Below are 22,387 nucleotides of genomic sequence, written 5' to 3' on the forward strand. Positions count from 1 at the left end.
TCATCCACCTGTCTCGGCCTCCCAAAGTGCTAGAAGTATAGGCGTGAGCCACTGTGCCCGGCCCATATGTCCCTTCTTTTAAACAGGGCTGCAATAGTTTCTACCATACATAGAAGTGTGAGGATCCCTGGCTAGGTAAGACCCAAAGAAAGTAGACAGGATAAATATGATGGGAGGAATGTCACACAGAGCGTACCAAGGCCCACATTCTAGTCCTGGCTCAGCTCTTACCCATGGAGATCTTGGTCAGAATTCTTCCACTCAAGATATCCTTCTTGTCATCCAGAAAATGATCAAGTCAGACTAGAGTCACTTGTACATGCAACAAATCACTACCAATCACTTGGCATATAACAGGCATTGTTCTGAGTGCTGGAGATATAGCAGGGAAAATTTCTGCTCCACGGAAGTTTACATTCCAGTGCGGGAGATAGAGTATCAACTCTTAAATAGCTGAATGAGATACTTGCAGATGATCAATAGTAATAAAGGCGAAGGAAATTATTCAGCCACATGACGGAATAAAATGTGATCTATTTGTAAGGAGAAGGAAGGCCACAAAGTTTGAGTAGTCAAGGGAGGCCTTGCTAAGAAAGTAGCATTTGGGTGAATGATGAGAAGGGGCCAGCCATGCCAAGATCCAGGGCAGGGTATCTGTTTGGGTCAGATGGGCCAACAGGGACAAAAACTCCAATGTGGGAATGAGCTTGGCACATTTAAGGGACTGAAAAGGCTTGTAAGGCTGCGGCAGAGAGAACAAGGGGAAAAGTACAAGACAATTAGAGAGGGAGACAGAAACTATATCCATGTGAGTCCTGTGGCCATGGAAAGGGGCTTAGCTTTTATTGTAAGTAACGCAAGAAGTAATTGGAGGGCTTTAAGCAGCTAAGTGGCATGATCGGATTTATATGTTTAAAATATCACTCTGGCAGCTGTGTGGACAATGAAATGTAGCAGACAAAAGTGAAGGTGTGGAAAACCTAAGTTAGAAGGCTACTGTCACAGTGTCAGAGGAGGGGATGATGACTTGGACCAAGACAATAGATATGAGGATGGAAAGGGTAAACAAGCAGATGGATACAAAATATTTTATGAATTTATTAAACTGAATGTCAGAAGAAGGGAGTAGGCAGGTAAAGGAAAGAGAGGCATCAAGAATGTCTCCCAAGGTTTTGGCCTGAGCAATTTGATGGATGGTACCACTTACAAGAACAAGAAGCATTGAGGAAGAAGAGGTTAGGAGGAAGGGCTTGGTATGAAATCAAGAATCCTGTCTTGGCCAGCTTAAGGTTGACTCATGACTGGGGCATGCAAGTAGGCAGTTTGATATAGGAAACTAAAGGGCACGATAGGAATACAAATTTGGGAGTTGGTTCTAAGGACTCTTCCAGCTTTAACTATCTATGATTCTAAACAATTGGAGACCAACATGTGTTGGGAGGAAATCTTTAATAGCAAAAACATATATATTGAGTCTTTCATAGTACATTGTCTTAAGCACTTTCCAGACGTTGTCTTATTTAAGGCTAAGACCAATCCTATGAAGTAGGAACTCTTATTTTCCTTTCAAAGCTCAGAGAAGTTCAATAATTTGCCTAAGGTCAACAGCAGGAAGTGAAAGATCTAGGATTTGAACCCTGATCTTTCTATCTTCAAAGCCCATGCTCCTTACTGTCAGCTATCCAGCATTTCATGGCTAAGTCCTCCACAAAGAACAGAAGAAGGAGGATACTTGTGGAGAAGCAGTGAGGGAGACCAGTGTGCCAGTTGCCAATCCTTTTGGGACTTGGAGAAAAGTCTCAGTGCAGAGGTAAGGGGGAAGGCAGAAAAGCAAAAATTTACTGAGATACTGTCTACATGTCATCTTGAAACTCAGAATCTGGGGTTATTCCAAGGAGAAAGAACATTGAGTAATTTATAATACATAATAAATCCATGTCACCATTTTTTCACCTCAATAATCTCAAGAGAAATTTATTACCTATGCAGTCAGTGTCCTGAAAGGGTAGGGATCCTAGCCACCTCTTCTTTTCCTATCCGCACAGCATCACTGACTTCCTCTCTTTGCAAACATAACACAGTTGATACAATCATGCTCAAATCAGGACATTCTCCATCTTTTACCCCACTCTGATGGCTGACTCTCCCAGCTAAAGATTGAGTGCACGTTTGCTTCCAAAAGGAGAAATAACTTAGTCCGGCATCCAGAGCTTTTTGGAAAAGAGCAAGAAATGGAGCCCAAGAGAGATCCCACCACAATCAACTCTAGGGATTAAATAAATTCTCTTGGCTTGCTGGAATCTTACATTAAATATTCTTGGAAATAAGTAGGCCATAGGCTAATGCTAAGAAATCTTTCATAATAAAGATATTCAGGTTGTAATGTAACTGTCATTATAGGATTTGACCTGAATAGAAAGAGGAACTAAACAGAGCTTTCTCAACAGAGCTCTTTGAGGATGGAGCGTGCTGAATCCCCAGGGGGAAAGAGCAGCTCTTTCACGGAACTTTAAAGATGCCCACCTCTCCTATAAGAAGTTCTTGCTGTGAAAACCAGAGAGAAAAAACGCTCCTGGGACGTAAAAAAGTACACGGACTTCAGATTCAAAGGATTTAGAGTCCACATCCTGATTCTTCCACTAACTTACTGTATAACCTTAGGAGAACTCAGTTATAACTTCTGAGCTTCAATGTTTGCATCTATGAAATGGGAAGAGAGGACTCCTAACTTAGAGTTACTGTGGGGAGTAAGTGAGTTCATATTTGCAAATGCACCAGGCACAGTTCTTGGCACACAGGAAGTTCTCAACCAGATTAGCCTTTCCCTCTTCTTTTCTGATACCAGCAGTTTTATGTGGTTTTCTAAACATAGTAATGACTAGCAAAACATAGTAACTTTTTAAATTGCTTCTGTGAAAAAACATTGCCTCTTCTGGCCCATGAGCTATAGTGGAAAGATTCCTGGAAAGAGAATCAGAGGATTTAGGTACAGTTCTACTTCTGCTACTTAAAAGTCAGAGCCTCTCTGGGCCTATCTTCCGTGCTGTAAAACAAAGCCACCTACCATACCCCTGCCCCAAGGATGGTTATGAGAATTCAATGAGATAATGTATGGAAAAGCACTTTGAAAACCACGAAGAGCTCTACAGGTGAAAGGAAGTACCATTGTTTGAGTGCAGCTCAGACAGACGTCTACATTCTTCATGTATGGGGATCCCAGACTGTGGCGATCCAGTCTGTGTGAGCCATGCCAGAGAAAACACACCCCATAAAGGGAAAGAGGGGCCAGCTGCAGAAGCTGGGCTCAGAGGACTCTGAGAACAACCCAAGTTCAATAATGCTGGTGGAGGAGATCTCAACTCAGGTGGAAATAAAGAAAGTTGTCAGCTCATCAGTTTCAGTTCCTTAACTCCTTTCTGAAACTGACAGCATCTACAGAGAGGCCTACATACAGTCTAGAGCAAGGGGATAAAAGAGGAGAATAGAGAACTTATCCGAATTTATTCATCAGTGTACAATGAAGAAAGACGCTGGAGAATATGAGTATTCCAGTCACCAGAGAGGTGGGCTCCACTGTGAGACAGAAATTCAGCTTTTTCAGGACAAAGAAGTGGTCAGAATACCCATCAAGGTCACCTAACCCCTTCTCTTTGATTCTATCATCACCACCAGGAATAATAACAATAATTACTATCATTACTAGCAACTGTTCTCTCTGAACGCTCACTATTTCCTGGTCACTGGGCTGAGAGCTGTATGTGCCTCTTATCGTTTAATCTTGACCACATCCCATCCCTAGAATAGCCACTATTATTATGCCCACTTTTCAGATTGGCATACAGCTATTGCAATTATCAATCTCAGAAATCCTTATCCTTAAAAATCCTTAATCCAGAATTCTTAGGATCAGAGAAGGGATACAAGGGTGGAAAATATTCCCATCTCTCAAAAAAGGGTTTCCCTTGATATGTATTCATCCATATCTCATTTTCCGCAATCTACAAAAGGTAGAGAAAACTAAAGCAGTCAAGAGGAGATGGTCAGTCACTCATAAACCATGACGTAAGGCCCAAGAGTCCTAATCTCCAGCCTACTGTACAGCAGACAACTTGGCCAAAACTTTGTCAATTCATTTTCTGGCATGAGGAAGAATTACACTGATTAACGCAACAGTAGCTTAGGGGTGGGAGACAGTTCAACCAATCAGAACAACTTGACCAATCTGACATCAGTACTAGGGGCAATGATATCACTTCCTACTTCTTATTTTATACAGAGGAAAGAAGAAAAGACTTCTCAGCCATTACCCTAAAAAAAAAAAAAAAAAAAGCCACCAAGCCAGGGCTCGGCAATTAGTGTTGGAGTAAGTGATCATCTTGTGATTGCTCAGCTGGGGCCAGAAGACTTGTAAATGCATTTAGAGGACAGAAATAGAAGATGTTGTGAGACAGCAAAGAAACCTGGCCCATTTGCCAGGAGAAAATGTCCCAAAGCTGCCGGGAAATTTACTCAATTGGGAATTTGGTGTGTGTCTTCATAAATAAGAAAAGTTAATAAATAAAACCCGTGGATAAAGCCAGTGCTTCTGCCTCATCCTATTGACTCGTCTCTCTGCGACCCCCAGGCTCCTCTGGGCATCCCACTGTGCCTATGAGAGCCACTTGACTGGGTGCTGACTTTCTTGAACTAGGTTGAGCACCCTGACTTGCCCCTAATGCACAGACAGACTCAAATTGGGGGTAAACTAATGGTCATCCATCCTTCTCGGTAATCACCCTGTAGCCAATAACAAGTACTTTGGCAAGAGCTGGCCAATGTGTCCAGGAGAAAACAGGGCCCAAAGTCATGGGCAGGTTCAATGGTATCCTTGGGTCCTCCTCCAACTAGGTCCTCCTACCCACAAAGCCTTGGGAATCTTGCAAACCTCCACCAGCCTCTATCGCTGCCACCACTCAGCAGACCCCATATCATTCCAAAAGAGACAGTGGGTCACAGCCCTCTTCCAGGATCCTCAAGGGCAAGCCAAAGACATGCTCTGGTACAACCCACTTCAGAGCCACCTGCAGCCCAAGATGTAACCCTGCTCCCACTCCTGAGCCTGGGTCCTGAAGCCTCTCCATCTCCCTAAGAGCTGCAGGGACACCGTGCCCTAGAAGGTTCTGAGGCCTGAGCACCCAGCCCCTGTCCTCAAAGAGAACAGGGTTTGTCTCGCATCAACAGCATCCCTCCCCCAAATACGACCTCGCACCACAAGCTGGCACTCTGTGTGCCACATTCTGCTCATAGAAGTAGTTTCATTTGGCCCATGGAGTTGAAAGGTCTTGTTTTTAGTCGGCAGCATTTAAAACTTGAGTTGTTTCACGGAATCTCCAAGTCTTCTGGAAACAAGTCTGACCACACCAGGCCCCACCTCCACGTGGCATCACTCAGCTGGAACTGATGACTGGTTGCCTCTTTGGAGGGGACACGTGACCCCACCTGGTCCACCATGGGCATTTGGCTTTGTGACCCTTGTATGAATTACTATGAAAACGGAGACTTCTCAGATGTCAAAAGCTTTTTCCCTTAGGATGTTTTACAGTGAAACTCAAACCCCCAATAAAATAAACACCTGGAACATCTGGTCCAAGACCCTCCTCTGGTCCCAGCTATGCCTCCAGCTGCAAAGAACACACATCAGGAGACTCTCACCACAGAGGCTACCCTGGGGCAAGGGGCAACAGTTAATTAGGCAGCTGAAAGGGAGGTCTCAGTCCCCTGGGGCTGATACACCTGGCCCTGAACAGTGACCACAGAGCCTGTTCTTTCCAGAGAGAGAAAAGAAAGCTCCGCAGAAAGCAGAGGTGGCCATACTGATAAACAAATATTTATCAAGCACTCACTATGTGCTTGGGAAAACACAAAGAGCCTGGGGGTAAGGTCAGGATCCCCCAAAAAAGAAAAAACAACTCCTCCACCAGGATTCACTGTGATCTCTTCCCTTTCCCCACCTTCCCTACCCTCCACTTCCCACAGCTCCCCTGGATGTTCTGCCCCGGTGCATGCAATTTCTCTCCAGCCCAGCTGCCCTCCGTTACCAAATGCAAAGTGCTCAGTCAGTGAAACTTTTAAGTGGCCACAGGAAAGACTAGCCCATAGCACACCACTTCTCCACTTTCTCCCCAAAGGCAATAGACCCCTCCCCACCTGGTTCCTGCAGAGCCTCTGCTCTTTGGGAACATGCCCAAAGGGTGTCCGAGATGGCCACTATCCTTGGAGTTGACCCAGACAACAAATACCCCTCTACAGGTGCAGCAGGTTGGCACTTCCCCTAATCACTCACCCCAGGCTTCCTTTCATGCCCACTTTCTCCCCAGGAAATGGCAGTCCTCATTAAATCCCAAAGTTTATCAGCCCAGAACTCGGCTTAGAGAGGAAGCATCAACTCTTGTGATTCTATCCCCACTAGGGAAAGGGGAGAGACAGGATGAAGGAGGCACAGACAGGAACCCCCACCCATAACCACCTGACCTCTAGCTTGTCCCAAACAAAGCTGTGTGACATTACACAGGTGTTTCCACTTCTCTGAGCTTTTCCCCACTGAACCCAGATCTATTTAGACATAACACTGGCTATTAGCCATACTTTCTTTCTTCTTGCAACCCCCCCCCGCCCCCCGCCAGTCCTAACACACATACACACTCTTATGGGCCTACTTATGGTCTCAGAAGTATAGTATTCACATTACATATGAGTGGAATTCCCTATCATTTACGTTCCCATAAAATTGCAAGTTTCATCATGAAAGTGAACACACTTGGGTGTCAGGAGACTGACTCTCCCTCTCAGCCCCTGGTCCTAGATTTTTCCTTCTGACAGGAAACTTAGAGATCATCAAACCCAAAATAATCCTTTTAAGAGGCAAAATTGGAAGCCCAATAAAGTTCAAAACCTTGCCCAAGAGCCCCTGGAGGCAAAAAGCCAGGTCTAGACCTCAGGTCTCCGGTTTCACTGCCCCAAGAGTACCTGCCATGTGCCCCCAATCCCTGCAGCCCAGCTCTACTCACATATAACGCAAATGGGGGTTCTTGGCAAAGGCTCTGGGCTGAATGCTCCGAAGTCCTGAGTTCTTGATGGTCCTAGACAGAGAGAAAAAGAGGATCAGCAGAGCTCAAGTGGCAGAGGGATATCTGCTCTGGGCTGAGGCTGGCAGGGGGTGAGGCTAAGGCTGGCCCTGCAGCCGCCCTGTGGATTATCTACACCTCTTCATTGCCAGTTATCACAGGTGGCCTGCTGGGGTTGCTCAGTGGAGGCACCTGGGCTCACACGCCCCAGGGCCCCGTGAGGCTGGGAGGTCAGGGGTCATACTGGCAGCTGCCCTCCACCCATCCTGGCCAGTAGGTAAGGACCAGGGCTTCTGCTGGTCCAGTAATGGCAGGGCTGCAGCCCTCTTTGTTCCTTGTCCCTCTCCCCACTCCAGGTCCCCACAGTCACTAGTACCGACATCCAAGGGTGGAGGTAGCTGGGAAATCTCATACTCCATGGGGCTCATCAGTCAAGCATAAGGGTAGGGAAAGGACACTCACCCAGCATGCCTGGGTTCTAGGCCTGCCTTGAAACCCTACCTTCAAGATGGGAATTCACACAACCCCCTTGCCTCTCTAGACTAGGGTGAGACAAAGGGGTGTGAAGAGATGGCCTTTGAAGCCTCTGGTGTCCCCTAAGTGCATATTGCCAACTCTACCAAAAGAAGACCTGGGGGAGAAAGCACGGATGGCAGTCTTGCTGTGCCCCTCACGCCACCCCAGAAGGCAGACCAGGTGGCATCCACCCCTTCCACAGGGAAAGGCCTCTCTGTGGCCGGGTGTACTCACAGCTTTTGAAGTCCGGTGTAGAGCTCCATGTCCACGGCGTTGAGCGTGTGAAGACTGCGCCAGTTCTCTATGTGTCTGCAGGGGAGGAGGAAAGGTAACGGTCAGCCAGAAGCAACAGAAATGGGGCTGGCTTTGGAGCCACAGAGACCTGGCTTTGATCCCCGATGAGCTAATTGATTGCCAGGCCTTTTGCCAAGTCACCAAATAAATCTGAGCCTCAGTTTCTTCCTCTGCGTGGTGGGGTTCACACCGTCTGCCTGATTGGGTTGTTGCAAGAATTAACTGGATTCATTGGATCCAAGTTCCTGGCCCATGGATTGCATTGAATGTCTCCCCATCAGCTAGAAAAAGATGCTAAAGACGTGAAGTTCAATCTCCCTGCTTGTCTTCCTAACTCAGTTTTCCTCTGTTCCCCTTCTTTCTTTTTCCTATTCAGAATTTCCTAAGGACTGGCCTTTTTTTTCCCTTAGTTATTGCCCATAAAGACAATACAAATGACATGGCTTTAAAAAAGGACGGGGTGGCCGGCTGGCCAGTGGGCATAGCCAAGGAGGGACACACTCCTACTTCCAGCATCACCAGGGTCTAGACTCTGGAAGCCCCCTTTGGGTGACCCACAGCCCAATCCCTCCTGGAGCTCAAAAAACCAATGGCTTGATTTGGTGGAGCTGACTCCAGAGAGTGGGGGCCACCTAAGGATCCTGGAGCCACTAGAGTGTCATGGAAAGAATGGGAACCTGGCAGTGGAGGACACAAACCCTAGCTTCATCTGAGACTTCAGGACCCAGTGACTTTGAGCCAGTGCTTCCACCTCTCTGAGTCTCTCATGTCTTCATTTGTAAAAGAGGAGAGTTGCACTGGATCAGCAGTTTCTCCCCTTTTCATCATGAAGGTCTCCTTTTAGAACTTTGCCCCAAGAGATCCCATGTTTAAGGAGGTTTATATCTAGCAAGCACACTACATCTATTAACTACTAATTAATTCATCTTCTTGGATTTATTAATCAGCAATATAAATCACTATTAACCAGAGCTTTTTATCAACAGACACAAACCCGTGCTAACTCATCCACTGCATAAATTCCAGCCCAAAGCAAAGAAACTCAACATTCTGTCAGCATGAGAAGGCTTGTCATGGGTATGGATCTGATTTCTGGGTTTATTGTTTTTGTATTGACCAAATGCCAGAAACAAACACCCCTCATTACTGCTTTTGGGATCCCCAGGTTGAGAACCATTACACTATTAATTATCAAAGCCCTTTGCAGCTCTAAAGGTGTATGAATGTGCCCATTCATACACACCTGTGATCCCAAGAGGCACCAAAGGATCTCGGGAAAAGGCCTTCCACTGCCCACCCCATCCTCCCAGGATTTTACTCTGATCAGTGGCCATGAATTCTAAGTACTTCAATCTTAGTGAAGAGTGCAGAGAGGTGACAGCTCATCCTGGGACAGAACTAACCCAGGCACACTCTGTCCAGAAAAGTGACAGCCACCTTCCCCAGACATCTCCTCCCCAGCACCACCACACCCGTAGCTCTGCCATCTGCCACCAACTCGAGTCAGAGCCAGCAAGGCAGCAGGACTATGACTGCCAGGGCCTCTGGAAGCATTTCAGAGCCACACGGTGACAAGGTATGCTGAGAACCTGTTTTGTACCACATTCTCCCAAAGTCCCTGCTGAGCAGCCAGAGACACTGGCATCTGCTGGGGACATGGACCAGGTGGCCAGGTTGGTGTTGGATTCCAATGCCAAAGTTCTCCCTGGAAGCCTTACAGCCCCAGGGCAGTTTGGGTGGTCTGGTCTCACCATGGCAGAGAACCTGGCAACATTTCAGATGAAAAGAAAGCGCCAGAGGAGTAGAACTATCTGTGCCACCAGGTCCCCCAGTGTATTCCCCGGGTTTTGTAAATTACCAAGTAGATCACCATGATTGTACAGAATACTTCTCATTCACAGGACTCCAGCTTCCTACAAGGATCTGCTCCCAACAAGCAACTTTTATCCAATTGTTTAAATCACTGAAATCATTTTTCACAGCCCACATTAGAATTCCATAAATGTGTTGTTACGGTTGAGTTGTCAATCATTACCATGTTCTCAAGCCTTACCCTTCTCAGCCCTCATGTCCTTATGCCCACAAACGGACCCTTCCCTGACTTAGGCAAGCACTGAGATATGGCAGAGAAATGAATGAACTCCTTGCTGCAAAGAGTCCTCCGGTAAGTAGAATAATAGTCCCCACCTCCTCCGTTGAGTAGGTCTGAGTTTTCCTAAATCAGGGAATGGCATTTTTGTAGCCACAGTGCAACAGTGTGGGTAGGAGTCAGGGCTCTAAGGCAGTGGTCGTCAAGCTACAGCCCGCTGCCTGCTTTCCTGCAGCCCCAGAGCTAAAAATAGCATTTACATTTTTAAAAATCAAAAGAAGAATTATATTTTGTAACACATGAAAACTACATGAAATTCAAATTTCCATGTTCATACCTGTTCATTTACTGTCATCTATAGCTCTCTTCAAGCTACAATAACAGAGCTGAATAGTTGCTACAGAGGCCATATGGCCTGCAAAACCTGAAATATTTACTCTCTGGCCCTTTACAGAAAACAGTTGTCGACTCCTGCCCTAGGAGCTGATGGTCAAAATGCATATCCTGGCCCCACCAGTACCCCTATCTATATGACCCTGTCCAGGTTACTTCTCTGTCTGTGCCTCAGTTTTCTCATCTATTAAATGGGGATAATAAAATAACTGCCTCGTAAGAATGATGTGAAGATCAAAAGACTATGATAAAAAAGAAAACCCCTTTGCAGTGTGGGGCACATGTAAGTTCTCAGGCAGAGCTGGCTGTGCTGATTATTTTCCTCCTGTGCCTTACGGAAACTGAGCAGTCTTGTTCTCAGTTTTCAAGCTAAAAATGGTATCAGGCTTCTGCTGGAAGTTGTCATGTCTCAGCAATCATTGATAAAAACCCCATGTGGCAGAGTGTGGAGGGGAAGGAAACCTGTCATTCATGGCCTCCAGGAAAACTGTTCCAGCAGGAGTTTATACACAGGTTCAAGGAGTGCATAGATGCCACATCAGAGCAGGTTCCGAGGAAGAGCAAGAGGATGAAGATGAGGCCCTGACATTTCCGGATGGCATCAGCTGGGCACCTGCCAAGTTCTCCTATGACTCACCACTTGGTACCCAACCAGGAGGTCAGTGTTGTGACTCTGCCGGCTGGTGTGTGTGTGCTACTAGGGAGACCACCACTTTCAGTGAAAAAGGCAGGCTCTAGAAAATATTATATATATATAGTAAAAGAGCAGGTTTGGTTTGCCTTTGTCAATGGTGAGTATCTCAACCCAGAACGATTACACGTGGCTTCTCCTTTTTTGTGATTTTCTGGGCTGTACAGGTTGTTTTCATTGAGCATTTGTTTTGTCATTTGAAAATCAATCAATACTGCCTGCAAAACAGACTTTGCGAGGCTGAGGCGGGTGGATCATTCATGGTCAGGAGTTCGAGACCAGCCTGGCCAACATGGGGAAACCCTGTCTCTACTAAAAATACAAAAATTAGCCAGGTATGGTGGTGGGCGCCTGTAATCCCAACTACTCAGGAGGCTGAGGCAGGAGAATCGCTTGAATCTGGGAGGCCGAGGCTGCAGTGAGCCGAGATCACACCACTGCACTCCAGTGTGGACAACACAATGAGACACTGTCTCAAAAAAAAAAAAAAGAAAAAATCAATACCTATTAACTTCTAGAGGCAGGCCAGGCACCTAAACCCTGTGGGGGCGGTGACTGGTTTCCCTGTTCCAGGACCACAGGCTGGACCAGCTCATCCCTGCCCGGACATCTTACAAACCCACTCCCGCTGTGGAGGAAAAGAATTTATAGCAATGCCCAAGGGACTGTGCAATTCTGCAGAGTGCATGGTGATGGCCCCCACAGGAACCTGCAGCTCTGCTCTCAATCTGGGTGTCCTGGTTCAATCAGAAACAGAGAGTGGAGGGAGGAGAAAGAGGGCAAAGGGGTGGCACATCAGGTGCCCACTCCTACTTTAAATAAATTACCTCCACTTTAGTCTCATAATACATTGGTTCTCAAAGGGAGGCGATTTTGCCCCCCAGCAGACATTTGACAATATCTGGACACATTTTTGATTGTCACAGCTGGGGAAAGAGAGTAACAATGGCCTACAGTGGGTAGAGATTAGAGATGTTGCTAAACATCCTGCAATGCACAGGACAGCCCCCACCGCTAAGAATCATCAGCCCCAAATGTCCACAGCACCAGGATTGAGAAATCCTGCTTTATTATATAAAGCTTCTGCCTAAGAGGGCTATTAAAGCAAGAGTCTCATGGCTTAAAACAACATCAATTTTGAAAATGACTGCTTTGCAGCAAACACTACCAGGCTTCAGGCCAATACAAAAAAGTCTACCTCTAGGTCACTGAGTCCAGGTGAGAGGAAAAAATGGGCAAGCCACAGCTCCCAGGACCCTCTCAAGTCACAGGCATTTCTTGAGAGGAAATGAGGGGTGTGTTGGCCTGCTGGACCGTGGCCCAAGCCAGGCTACACATTCCAGATGCAACAGTGGTCTCTTCTCACCATCTCTGGCTGGAACCCACTGGCCAAGAGCCTTTTCTCTCCACTGAAAGTTCCTCTCCTGGATTTCTCATGCCTCTTCATTCCATAGAAATGTGAAATGCTCCATTCAGAAAATCAGCTCAATGCCCTGCTCCTACCCTCTCACCACTGCCCTTCCATTCCACAGAGCCACTACTCTGCCAAGAGCTAGTTGGGCACCACTTTTCCAGACGGAGGGAGACAGTGGGGCATAATACATGATGACATTGACCTCCAGAGTCAGAGTCGGGCTTAGGGCAGGAACTCAAAAACCTCAGTGATGTCAAGGTAGACCCCTGGGATCAAGATCTCATGATGCTGCCAGGTGGGCTTAGAAGGGAAATGGAGTCAGGGAATGGCCATGCAGAGTCTCTTTGGCAATTCTAAAAAATCAGTCTGAAACATACCCACTCTTAGTGACTCATAACAGCAACACCAGGTCCCAGAGACCTAGGACCACAGATAGCTGCTTCATAGCCATTTTTATAATGGGACATGGCATAAATTAAATATTAATTGATACATTCATGGGGACTACAAACATTCTTTGTGCTAGAATAAATTAGATTGCAATTCCTTTTTTTTTTTTCTTTTTTTTTGAGATGGAGTTTCACTCTTGCCACCCAGGCTGGAGTGCAATGGCTCACTGCAACCTCTGCAGTGGGGTGCAATGGCTCACTGCAACCTCTGCCTCCCAGGTTCAAGCAATTCTCCTGCCTTAGCCTCCCGAGTAGCTGGGATTACAGACATGTGCCACCACACCCAGCTAATTTTGTATTTTTAGTAGAGACAGGTTTTCACCATGTTGGCCAGGCTGGTCTCAAACTCCTTACCTCAGGTGATCCACCTGCCTCGGCCTCCCAAAGTGCTGGGATTACAGGCGTGAGCCACCATTGCCAACCAGATGGTACTTTTGTACCCCAGTTTTCTCTTCTTCCTTCTGTTTTGCTTGGGCCAGTATGATAAACGAATTGGCAATCTCCAAGCATTCCAAAATTGGATGGTACAGAATGTGTGGTCCATATTTTAATTAAAAATATGTCATGTGGATATGTTTAAGAGTTGTTTCTACCTTCAATATTTAATGTTTCATGTTTACTCCTCTCCTATGCAGAAAATTGTAGAACACAAAGACGCCCACCACCATCTAACCCCAGAGGACTAAGGTGATTGAGGAAGTCAACAGGGACAAGGCACCCTTTACCTGGCAGAACTTCCCTGGGCACTTGGCAAGACAGGAACTCGGTCGGTGGGACTTAGGAACATCCTTCCTTTCTCGACAGGTAGCAGGCCCAGTATTGCCTCATTTTTCTAAGCTTTTCCCGCTCCTCTCTGGCTGTCAGATTGCTGTTATCTTCACTGTGACTTCTCACTGCTATTAATGAGCTCTTCTTCATAACCAAATTTTCCAGACAACTAAATTTAAATGCAAAACCCTTTGCATTTTCAACTTCCCTGCTGGATGTTTCTTTTTTCCACCTAAAATGCATTACACACATCCTTGCCTTTTTAAACAGAGTAGACAGATCATGATTTACATTTTCTTGATGACCTTACATCAATACGACCAGCCTAATGAGCCTGCCAGGCTGTAGCACAGCAAAACCCTCAGAAGCTCTTGATGGATGCAGAATTTGTAGCCCTACTACAAATGGCCCTACCCTGATATGACTTCCTATTCCAACGGTTATCGCATCCATTTTAACTATTTTCTGGCTCTTTTTTTGATATTAGGCTGCAGGCCATCACCTCTTAAGCTGTCCCCAGGGCCCCTCCTCCCTCCCAAATGTGCTGTGCCCAGTATCCTCTGCAGCCTCTTGGAGCCCAATAGGTAAGAGCTGGCACCTGGAATTAGGCTGACCTGGAGATGACACGCTAGCACCGGAAGCCAGATGCCTTCAGGCCAGTTACTAGAGCTTCTCCAGCCATCAGATTTTCCATAGCAAAACTAGTTGTGGTGAGGGTTAGAGAAGGTAATGCCTAAGTCCTCAATTCACTGTGGATGCATGGCACTAGTGGAATAAATAGCTGATTCCATTTGTATTGTTAGAAATGCATGTAAAGTAAGCGTAAATAGGATCTAAGGGAATATGAAAACATTCACACACACATACATGCACATGCATACAGATAGGCAGATATTTGCCCTTGTTTTCATATGACTTTGTTTTGCTCCCCCTTTTGGATAACTGAAGTTGCCAGTTAAGTGAAGCTTTCCTGGAGGTGCAGTCACAATTCACATTTACATGGCGGTACCTAAGCGTACGACACTATCATTATGTTCAGAATACTGGCAGGAGGCAGCTGAAGCTGATGTTTCCCGTGTGTGTGTGTGTGTGTGTGTGTGTGTGTGTGTGTGTGTGTGTGTCTTAACACAGAGCCTCACTGTCACCCAGGCTGGAGTGCAGTGATCTCAGCTCACTGCAAACTCTGCCTCCCAGGTTCAAGCAATTCTCGTGCCTCAGCCTACCGAGTAGCTGGGACTATAGGCATGTGTCACCACGCCTGGCTGATTTTTGTATTTTTAGTAGAGACAGGGTTATACCATGTTGGCCAGGCTGGTTGCGAAATCCTGGCCTCAAGCAATCAGCCTGCCTAGGCCTCCGGATGTTTTTTATATGTGAGTACTCTACTCCTCCAACACAAAATTCAAAAGCTTCAAAAACAAGATTGCATACAGGTGTCCCTTCTCTCCAGCTAGTGCCTGCAGAAGCTAGTCTGGAATTCCATTTCCTAACAAGTCAGCATTGGAGCACACACACGCATGAATGCACGTGTGCACACACACGCACAATGTGCCGCGCTTTTGACTCCGAAGCCTTGTAGGGCAATGAGGAAATTGATTTGTTATCCAGGCGTATTATGTCTAGTGATCCAGACAGCAACATTAGCTTTCAATTATCTGATATGTTTAGCATCATAAACAAACCGTCTGGAGCAACAGCTCCATGGTGCTAAGGCATCAAGGGGGCTGGGAAGGAGCGCATGGGATCACGCTAGCCAAGTCACCTGGCTCTCCCTCCCTTGACAGCTGTTGTGGGGGACAGTGTGCTAGATGCCTGGGGAGCCAGACCTGAGAGCCCCAGGCAGCCAGGGGTTGGGACGGCTTGTGCCGGTGACCCCAGCATGCCAGCACGTTAGCACACAAGCCTACAAGCAGCTGTGCGCCAAGGACCACGGTGAACCAGCCCCGCATCTGGGGCCACCCCTGGGACCACAGAAAGGAACATTCAGATCATGCAGCAAACAGATGGAAGACGACAGCATCTGTGCTGGCTTCCTGATCAATTCCAAAGTATTGTGCCAGGAATGAAGAACGTTTGTGCACACACCTGTGTTCTGCAGGTGCAAAGATGCTGTGTCTCCTAACAGGAAAAGATCAAGGGCACATCTTCACTGCTACCCCACTAAGAAAAGGGCTAACTCCCAGGAGCGAGATTTCACCTGGGAGCCAGCCAGTTCACTGGGGAGTCCAGGCCATTGTGGCTGAACCCCAGCCTGTGGCCTCCTATCCTACCCCTCCCCAGCCTATCTGCTTCTATTTTTACTGCTGCTGCCTGGGCTGGCACAGGATGGCAACCCCAGCTTGCCTACACATCAATGCTCCCGGTAACCACCACCTATTCTAACCCGGAGAACAAGCATCCCCTCCTACCTGGCCTCCCTGCTTTCCCTCTTCAACAATCTACATTATTGCAACCACTCTCTCCTGCCTAAAACCCTCCAATGGCTTCCTTTGGCTATGACAATAAAATCCAGTGATGTCCAGACATCACTGGAAGCCACCCTCAAGGTCCTGCACAAGCTGGCCACCAGATGCCTCTAGGGCTCCTTCTCTGAACACACTCCCCTTGTTTTGTGGGCTCCAGTCACACTGTCCTGCTTCTGGTCTTTAAATATGCCAAGCTTATTCCCAACTGGACCTCCTACGTGAAACACTCATCCCTGGCTTCTTTCAATCCCTCAGATCTCCACTCAAAAATCACCTTCTCGGAGAAGCCTGCCCTGACCCCACTGTGTTAGCAGCCCCTGCATTTCCCCTCCAGTTGCTCTCTGGCACAAACGCCTGTTTATGTCCTTCACAGCCCTTAATAACCATCTGTAATTGTCTTATTAGATTATTTGATTATGTGTTTGTCATCAGTGTCTCTACATTAGAACCATAATGCATGAGAACAGAGATCATATCTGTCTTACTCACCATTTACTCACCCCCAGAATCTTAAATTGGGGCACCACCCCTGAGTAAGTATACACCTGGAAAGCCATCCAGGGCGGTACTATGTAGCCACCCAGCTGCCCCACCTCACTGCCAGAGGATCTCCACCCTCAGTACCTGCACGGCCCTCACCCTGGCCCCCTGAGCAGCCCAGGGCCCTGGTCTGACCCTACAGGCACCCTGAACTTGATCTCTGGGGAGAGCTGTGGCCCCGAGCACACCACTGAACATCCCACCCAGGGACAGGCATGCTGGAGGCATAACTGCAGGGCACAGCAGCAAGGGGAAGGTGATCTCAGAGGTCTCAAGGGCCCCATATCCAGAGCTCCCTCCCAGGCCCAGGTCTCAGCTTGATGTCCACTGTCAGGGTCAGCAGTGGGGAAGTAGGAGGGCCCTACACACCAAACGAAGAGGAAGCAGAAATGTCCTTGGCACCCAGGCACATCTTTTCCACCTTTCCTGTCCCTACATGACTATGGCCTTCACCAAAGCATGAGTTTTCTAAGGGCAAGGCCAGGAGGCTGTGGTTCCAGTGTTATGCAAATAGTGACCACTAGGCGAATAAATGAACGAATCCCCAAAGGGATCAATGTCAGACCTTAACCATTTAGCTATCAGCTTCCCATGTGGACTTTCTACCCGGCCTCAACCTTTCCCACCTTCTCAGGAACATATTCATTTTTTCTCTTCCTCTTCTCTACCCTCAACTGTCTCTCTGCTATGTTTTTCCATCAACATATAAACATGTTTTAGGAAAGCTCATCTACAAAAAGAAAAAAAACCTCCTTGACTCCATGTCCTCCTCCAGCTACCAACTCATGTGTCTACGCCTCTTTATGGCAAATGGTTTAAAAGAATCGTCTACACCTGCAGGCCCTTCTTCCTCGCCTCCCTTTGATTCTCCATCCTAGTTTGTCTTCGATCCTACTACTCTACTGAAACTGCACTGTCAAGGTCACCAGTGATTTTTATGTTTGCAAATCCAATCGACTCTTCTCTGTCACCCATTATTCAATCTCTGGGTAGCATTTTACCCTGTTAACCACTCTTTCTTCCTTGAAACATTCTTTCCTCTCTGGCTTCCTTGACTACACTCTCTCCTGGGTTTCTTTCTACTCTCTGGATATTCTTTCTTAGGCTCCTTCGCTGATGTCGTATTCTTTGCCTGATCCTTAAATGTTGGAGTCTCCCAGGGAGCCTGGGGCTCCTCTATTCACTTCCTCTCTCATGTGCCAAGGTGATCTCCCCCAAGTGCTCTGCTCTGAGCGCCGTCCTTGTGCTGATAGCACTCAAATGTGCATCTCTGGCAGAACTTTCCCTGAGCTCCAGATGTTTAGCTGACATCTTAGCAGATCCAATACCAGCCCCTGCTTTCCTCCCAGTGAGCTGTCTCCATATCAATAAATGACACTGGTATCATGGAGTTGTCCCAGACAAACCCTGTCATTGATTCTACCCTTCAACTCTATCTACTTCTTGCCACATCCACTATTATCACCTGCGTCCAGGCCACCATCACCTTTCATAAAGACCCCTGCCTCCAAAACATGACTACTGTTTCCACTGCGGCCCAATTAAAATCTGTCCTCCACACAGAAACCCCAATGAATTAGTTGGAATATAAATTTAATCATGCCCTCCACCAAAACAAACAAAAAACCTCTAGTGGCTTCTCCTGCACTTGGACTTGGGGGAAAATTCTGACTCCACCATGACCAGCAGGATCCTTCCTCATGTAACATATGCCATTCCCTCCTCAGCTGAAACCTCCCTCTCTCTTTATTCACTTGACTTCAGCCTCACTGGTCTCCTCTCAGGACCTTCGCATTTATTTTTCCCTCGGCCAAGACAGCAGCTTCAGGATTCTTTTGAAATGTCACTTCTCCAGAGAAGCCTTCCCTGACCAACCTAGCTAGGGTCATTCTCTGAACCTTCCTCTAGATCAATAGTGCTCATGCTCAAGTCAGGGGCGGACTGTGCCCCCCAGGCTTGGGTTGTCTGAAGACATCAGTTTTGATTGTCACTATTGGGGCGGTGCCACTGGTGTCTAGCGGGGTGAGGCCAGAGATGTTATTAATCTCCTACAATGCACAAGACAGCCCCCACCCCCAACAGAGAATTATCCATTCCAAAATATCAGTAGCGCTAAGGTTGAGAAATGATGCTCTAGATAACTCATTTATTATCACTTACCAAAACCTCTGATTATGTCACCTATGTGTTCACTTGTTTATTGTGTCTCTCTCCTAATGCATTGCAGGCTCCCTGAAGGCAGGCAACCTGTCTTATTCACTATTGTATCTGCAGCACTCATCCAAGTTCCCGGTACATAGTAGAAATTTTAAATAAACAAATTAATAAATGACTGTCCCTCCTCAGAACCCTGTGACCTCTCAACAAGTCATGAAAAATCTGTGGTTACCAAGGTCTTGATTGGGACAGCACTTTTTCCAACCACTTGAAGAGTCTAAAGCATAAAGGAGCAAGCTGTGCCCATGGGATTGGGGTCAGAGGGGTGGAACCCTTGTAGCCCCTTGGAGAAAGTCTCCTCCTGTCTACAAATGAGAATCAAATCATGTTGATTATAAAACCTCTGATCCTTACTAGGCATCTTAGCTTTGAACCAGGGGAGAAAATGGAGGCCTTTGATCAAGAGTAAAAACAGCCTCGGGCAGGGAGACAGACATTGATTTTGACCCTTACTCCCCAAGGGGTCTTGGGGGGAAAAGCCTGAGTGAGAAGGAGTTTGGTCCAGGCCTGAGCAGCTGGCTTGAAAGTAATCCAATAGTGCGAGCTCTGTGCCTAAAATCAGCTGGCCCCAGGGGTTCTGAGAATGCTGCCCTTTGGGTGGCCAATTTCCTTAGGAAAATATGAAATGGCCAGGCCACCCTTTACTGAATTATAAAGCACTTATCACTTCTTTAATAACTACCCGCATGGAGGACTTAATTCACTCAATATGGAAGTTATAAAGGCGAATTGGTGAGTGAGCATTAAGCTCAAGTGCATTGCATAAAGACTTATGAGGGCAATATTTTCGCCCATTAAAAGGGTAGATTTTCTCACTGCAACTCTGCCTCAGAGTTAATGCAGAAAAGTCGCTCCAAAGCTTGGGGCATTTTCATTGTTAGAGGGTAAGTTCAGGTCACTAGGAGGAAAGGGAGTCCTTGACTTTGCAGGAATAATTATCCCAGAACCTGAGGGTGTCAGTGTGATTAGTCAAGGTAAGCATCAGAAAGACAAGATCACATTTGTGATGCCTGGCCCTCTCTTTCGTGCACAGCAAGCCGGGATGCGACCGAGGCACAGTGAAGAAGAGAGAAGTCACAGGATGAAGAAGGAAGGGTGGGCTGGGATGGGGGCTGCAGAAGAATGTGGAGCAGGGGCTGCAGGAGGGAGGCAGGCCCCAGGGCCAGCTCCTGTAAGACCTGAGCACTGAGAGGAACACCTACTTACATCTGGGGCCTGAAAGGGAGGAAATGATATTCACCCTTGTTATCTGTAAGGAAACCAGCTCTGGAATTTCTGAAGGTTCCAGAGGGCTCCATTTAAGGAGCTGGAGCAGTAGCCTTCCTCACCCAAGTGAAGGAAATGCAGGTTTCTCTCTTGTTCGCTTTTCTCTCCCTTACTTCATCATTGCCACCCAATTCCTTTCCTCCAGCAATAAACCATCTGTTCTCTTCCTCATATACTCACCCTCTGGGAAGGCATCTCTCCATTCACATGACTTCAATTACTGCCTAATTAGAGATTGATTCTAGTTCTACAGCTCTACCCTTGATGCCTAACCTGTCTCCTGTCCTGAAGTTCTTGTTATCACAATATGCATTCCCCTGAACTCTAAAGAGCAAATATGGACAGAATGGCTCACTCTTCCCACCTGAACTTTCCCAAACTACCTTCAATGAGTACTCCTGACTTGAAACATGGCAGCAGAGATGGTCAGTCAATTTTAACTTATGTACAATACTAGTGGGTTGGCAAGAGCTAACACAGAGTGCTGTGATTAGAAGAGGTCTATGGTTGAGCAGGACAAAAAAAAAAAAAAAAAAAAAAAAAAAAAAAAACCTCTGTGATTGATTAGTGATGTCTGCCCTGGGCACAGTACATGGAAGGACCATGAAAGTATCATCCATTGACCACATCTACTCAAAAGGCTCTGTGAGGTCTTTTCTTTCTCAGATTCAAGTCCCATCAGTCCCTCCTTCCTGATATTGCAAGTAACTTCCCTTGTCTTTTTATTTCTACAGCTTCTATCTTAGACAGCCTCATGCCCAGAAGGATAGGAGGACCTCTTAGCAACCCTTTCAGCTTTCATTCTTTGAGTGCTAACTTGTTCTAGGCTCCATTTTTTACAAAGATGACATCGATCATGTCCCCTACAGGCCCAAGACATCCCAATGGCTATCAAACGCCTCACACCAAACCAAACTTCTATTAGGAAGCCTTAAGCCTGCAGGAAATCTGAAACTGAGGAGAAGGGACTATAAACAGAGCTACAGACCCTTTGAGGACAGAAGCAACTTTTTCTCTGTTTCCCGTGTCCAAACCATTGCACTACTGAGATGCTTTCCTGAGGCTTGAATCCAGCTGGAAGCTGAGAGGAAAGGGGGTTGCTAATGGGACCTGTGTAAATGGCTTTTGTGACTCTCATTCTTCCTGTCCCCATGTGTCCTCATCTTTTTCTCAAAGAAAATAAAACATCAAGCTACTCCAGGGAGGTGTGCTTACTTCTACAGAGAAATCCACCTGCCAGGCATCATCATGCCGTCTCCCCTCTGGTTCTTCCCTGTACTATTTTTGGAAGCGGTTTGTTATAATGAAAAAAAATAACAGCTTTGGGGTCAGCACTGAGCTTCACTTTCCAGTCTGTCACTGACAAGCTAGGTGATCTCCCATGGCCTCAGTTTCCTTATCTGTAAAATAGAGATAATGATGCTGAACTCATGGAGGCATCATAACAATGAACTAAAATAGTGTTTGTAAAAAGCCCTAGCACATTCCCTGAAATATGCTAGGGCTCAAAGAATGTTTATTTTCCTCTTCAAAAAGAAAAGCAATCCTCGGGTTGGGCAGGAATTGAGGTCAGGACTGGGGCCACCATGGCAGGGAGGGTAACCCTACTTGTAGCTTCAGTGGCTGAGGCTGTGACAGACGTGTAGTGTGAGACTCTTCCCAGCCACCCCCTTCCCATCCTTACCCACTGCTTCCTCCTCCTCTCATAACCCAGCCTGCACTTTACAAGTCAGCCAAACAAAGCCCTGGCTGCCCAGATATGGTTCCCTCCAGTGTCCTCTGAGCCATGGTGCCTCTCCCTGCCCACCTCTGGGTACTCAGAATGTCAGTGGAGCTGAATGTCTCCTCCTGGGGTTCCAAAGTGCCACATCTTCCTCTCCCCTAAGCTTTTAACAAACCATCGCCACCCAGTCACAGTCACTCAGTGATCCCAGCCTCACCCTCTAATTCCTGAGAAATTTTTCTAGGTGGCTGCTGATGTATGTATGTAATCCTGTCACCTGTGTGTCTAGGCATTATCTGCCTGGCTTCCCTTGTGAGAGCATAAATTCCTTGACAACAAAGTCTGCTGCATTCTATTTATTTTGTTCACCCTCCTCGTGCCCCATGCTCAGTTCTGCGCTCAGTAAGCATTCAGACCTTGCAGAAATTCCCAGAAGCTTCTCCTTGAAGCTGGGACCAG

At 46.9% G+C, this 22,387-nt stretch overlaps 1 protein-coding gene across 32 annotated transcripts in view; it reads right to left on the reverse strand.

Moving 5' to 3' along the window:
* NTRK3 (neurotrophic receptor tyrosine kinase 3) overlaps positions 1-22,387 on the reverse strand; it is a 396,989-nt gene that overhangs the window by 316,621 nt on the left and 57,981 nt on the right. For 31 of the 32 annotated variants that reach the window (XR_001751292.3, XR_002957645.2, XR_001751293.3 and 28 more), the window contains 2 exon segments: positions 7,854-7,928; positions 7,047-7,118 (listed from right to left, as the gene is read on the reverse strand). Coding sequence is in view for 29 of the 32 variants with exons in the window: in NM_001243101.2 (NP_001230030.1) it covers positions 7,047-7,118; positions 7,854-7,928 (147 nt within the window). In the remaining 3 variants the exon portion in view is untranslated. 32 annotated transcript variants of the gene reach the window in all.

The sequence above is a fragment of the Homo sapiens genome, chromosome 15 (genome assembly GCF_000001405.40).
Source record: "Homo sapiens chromosome 15, GRCh38.p14 Primary Assembly".
Classification (NCBI taxonomy): domain Eukaryota; kingdom Metazoa; phylum Chordata; class Mammalia; order Primates; family Hominidae; genus Homo; species Homo sapiens.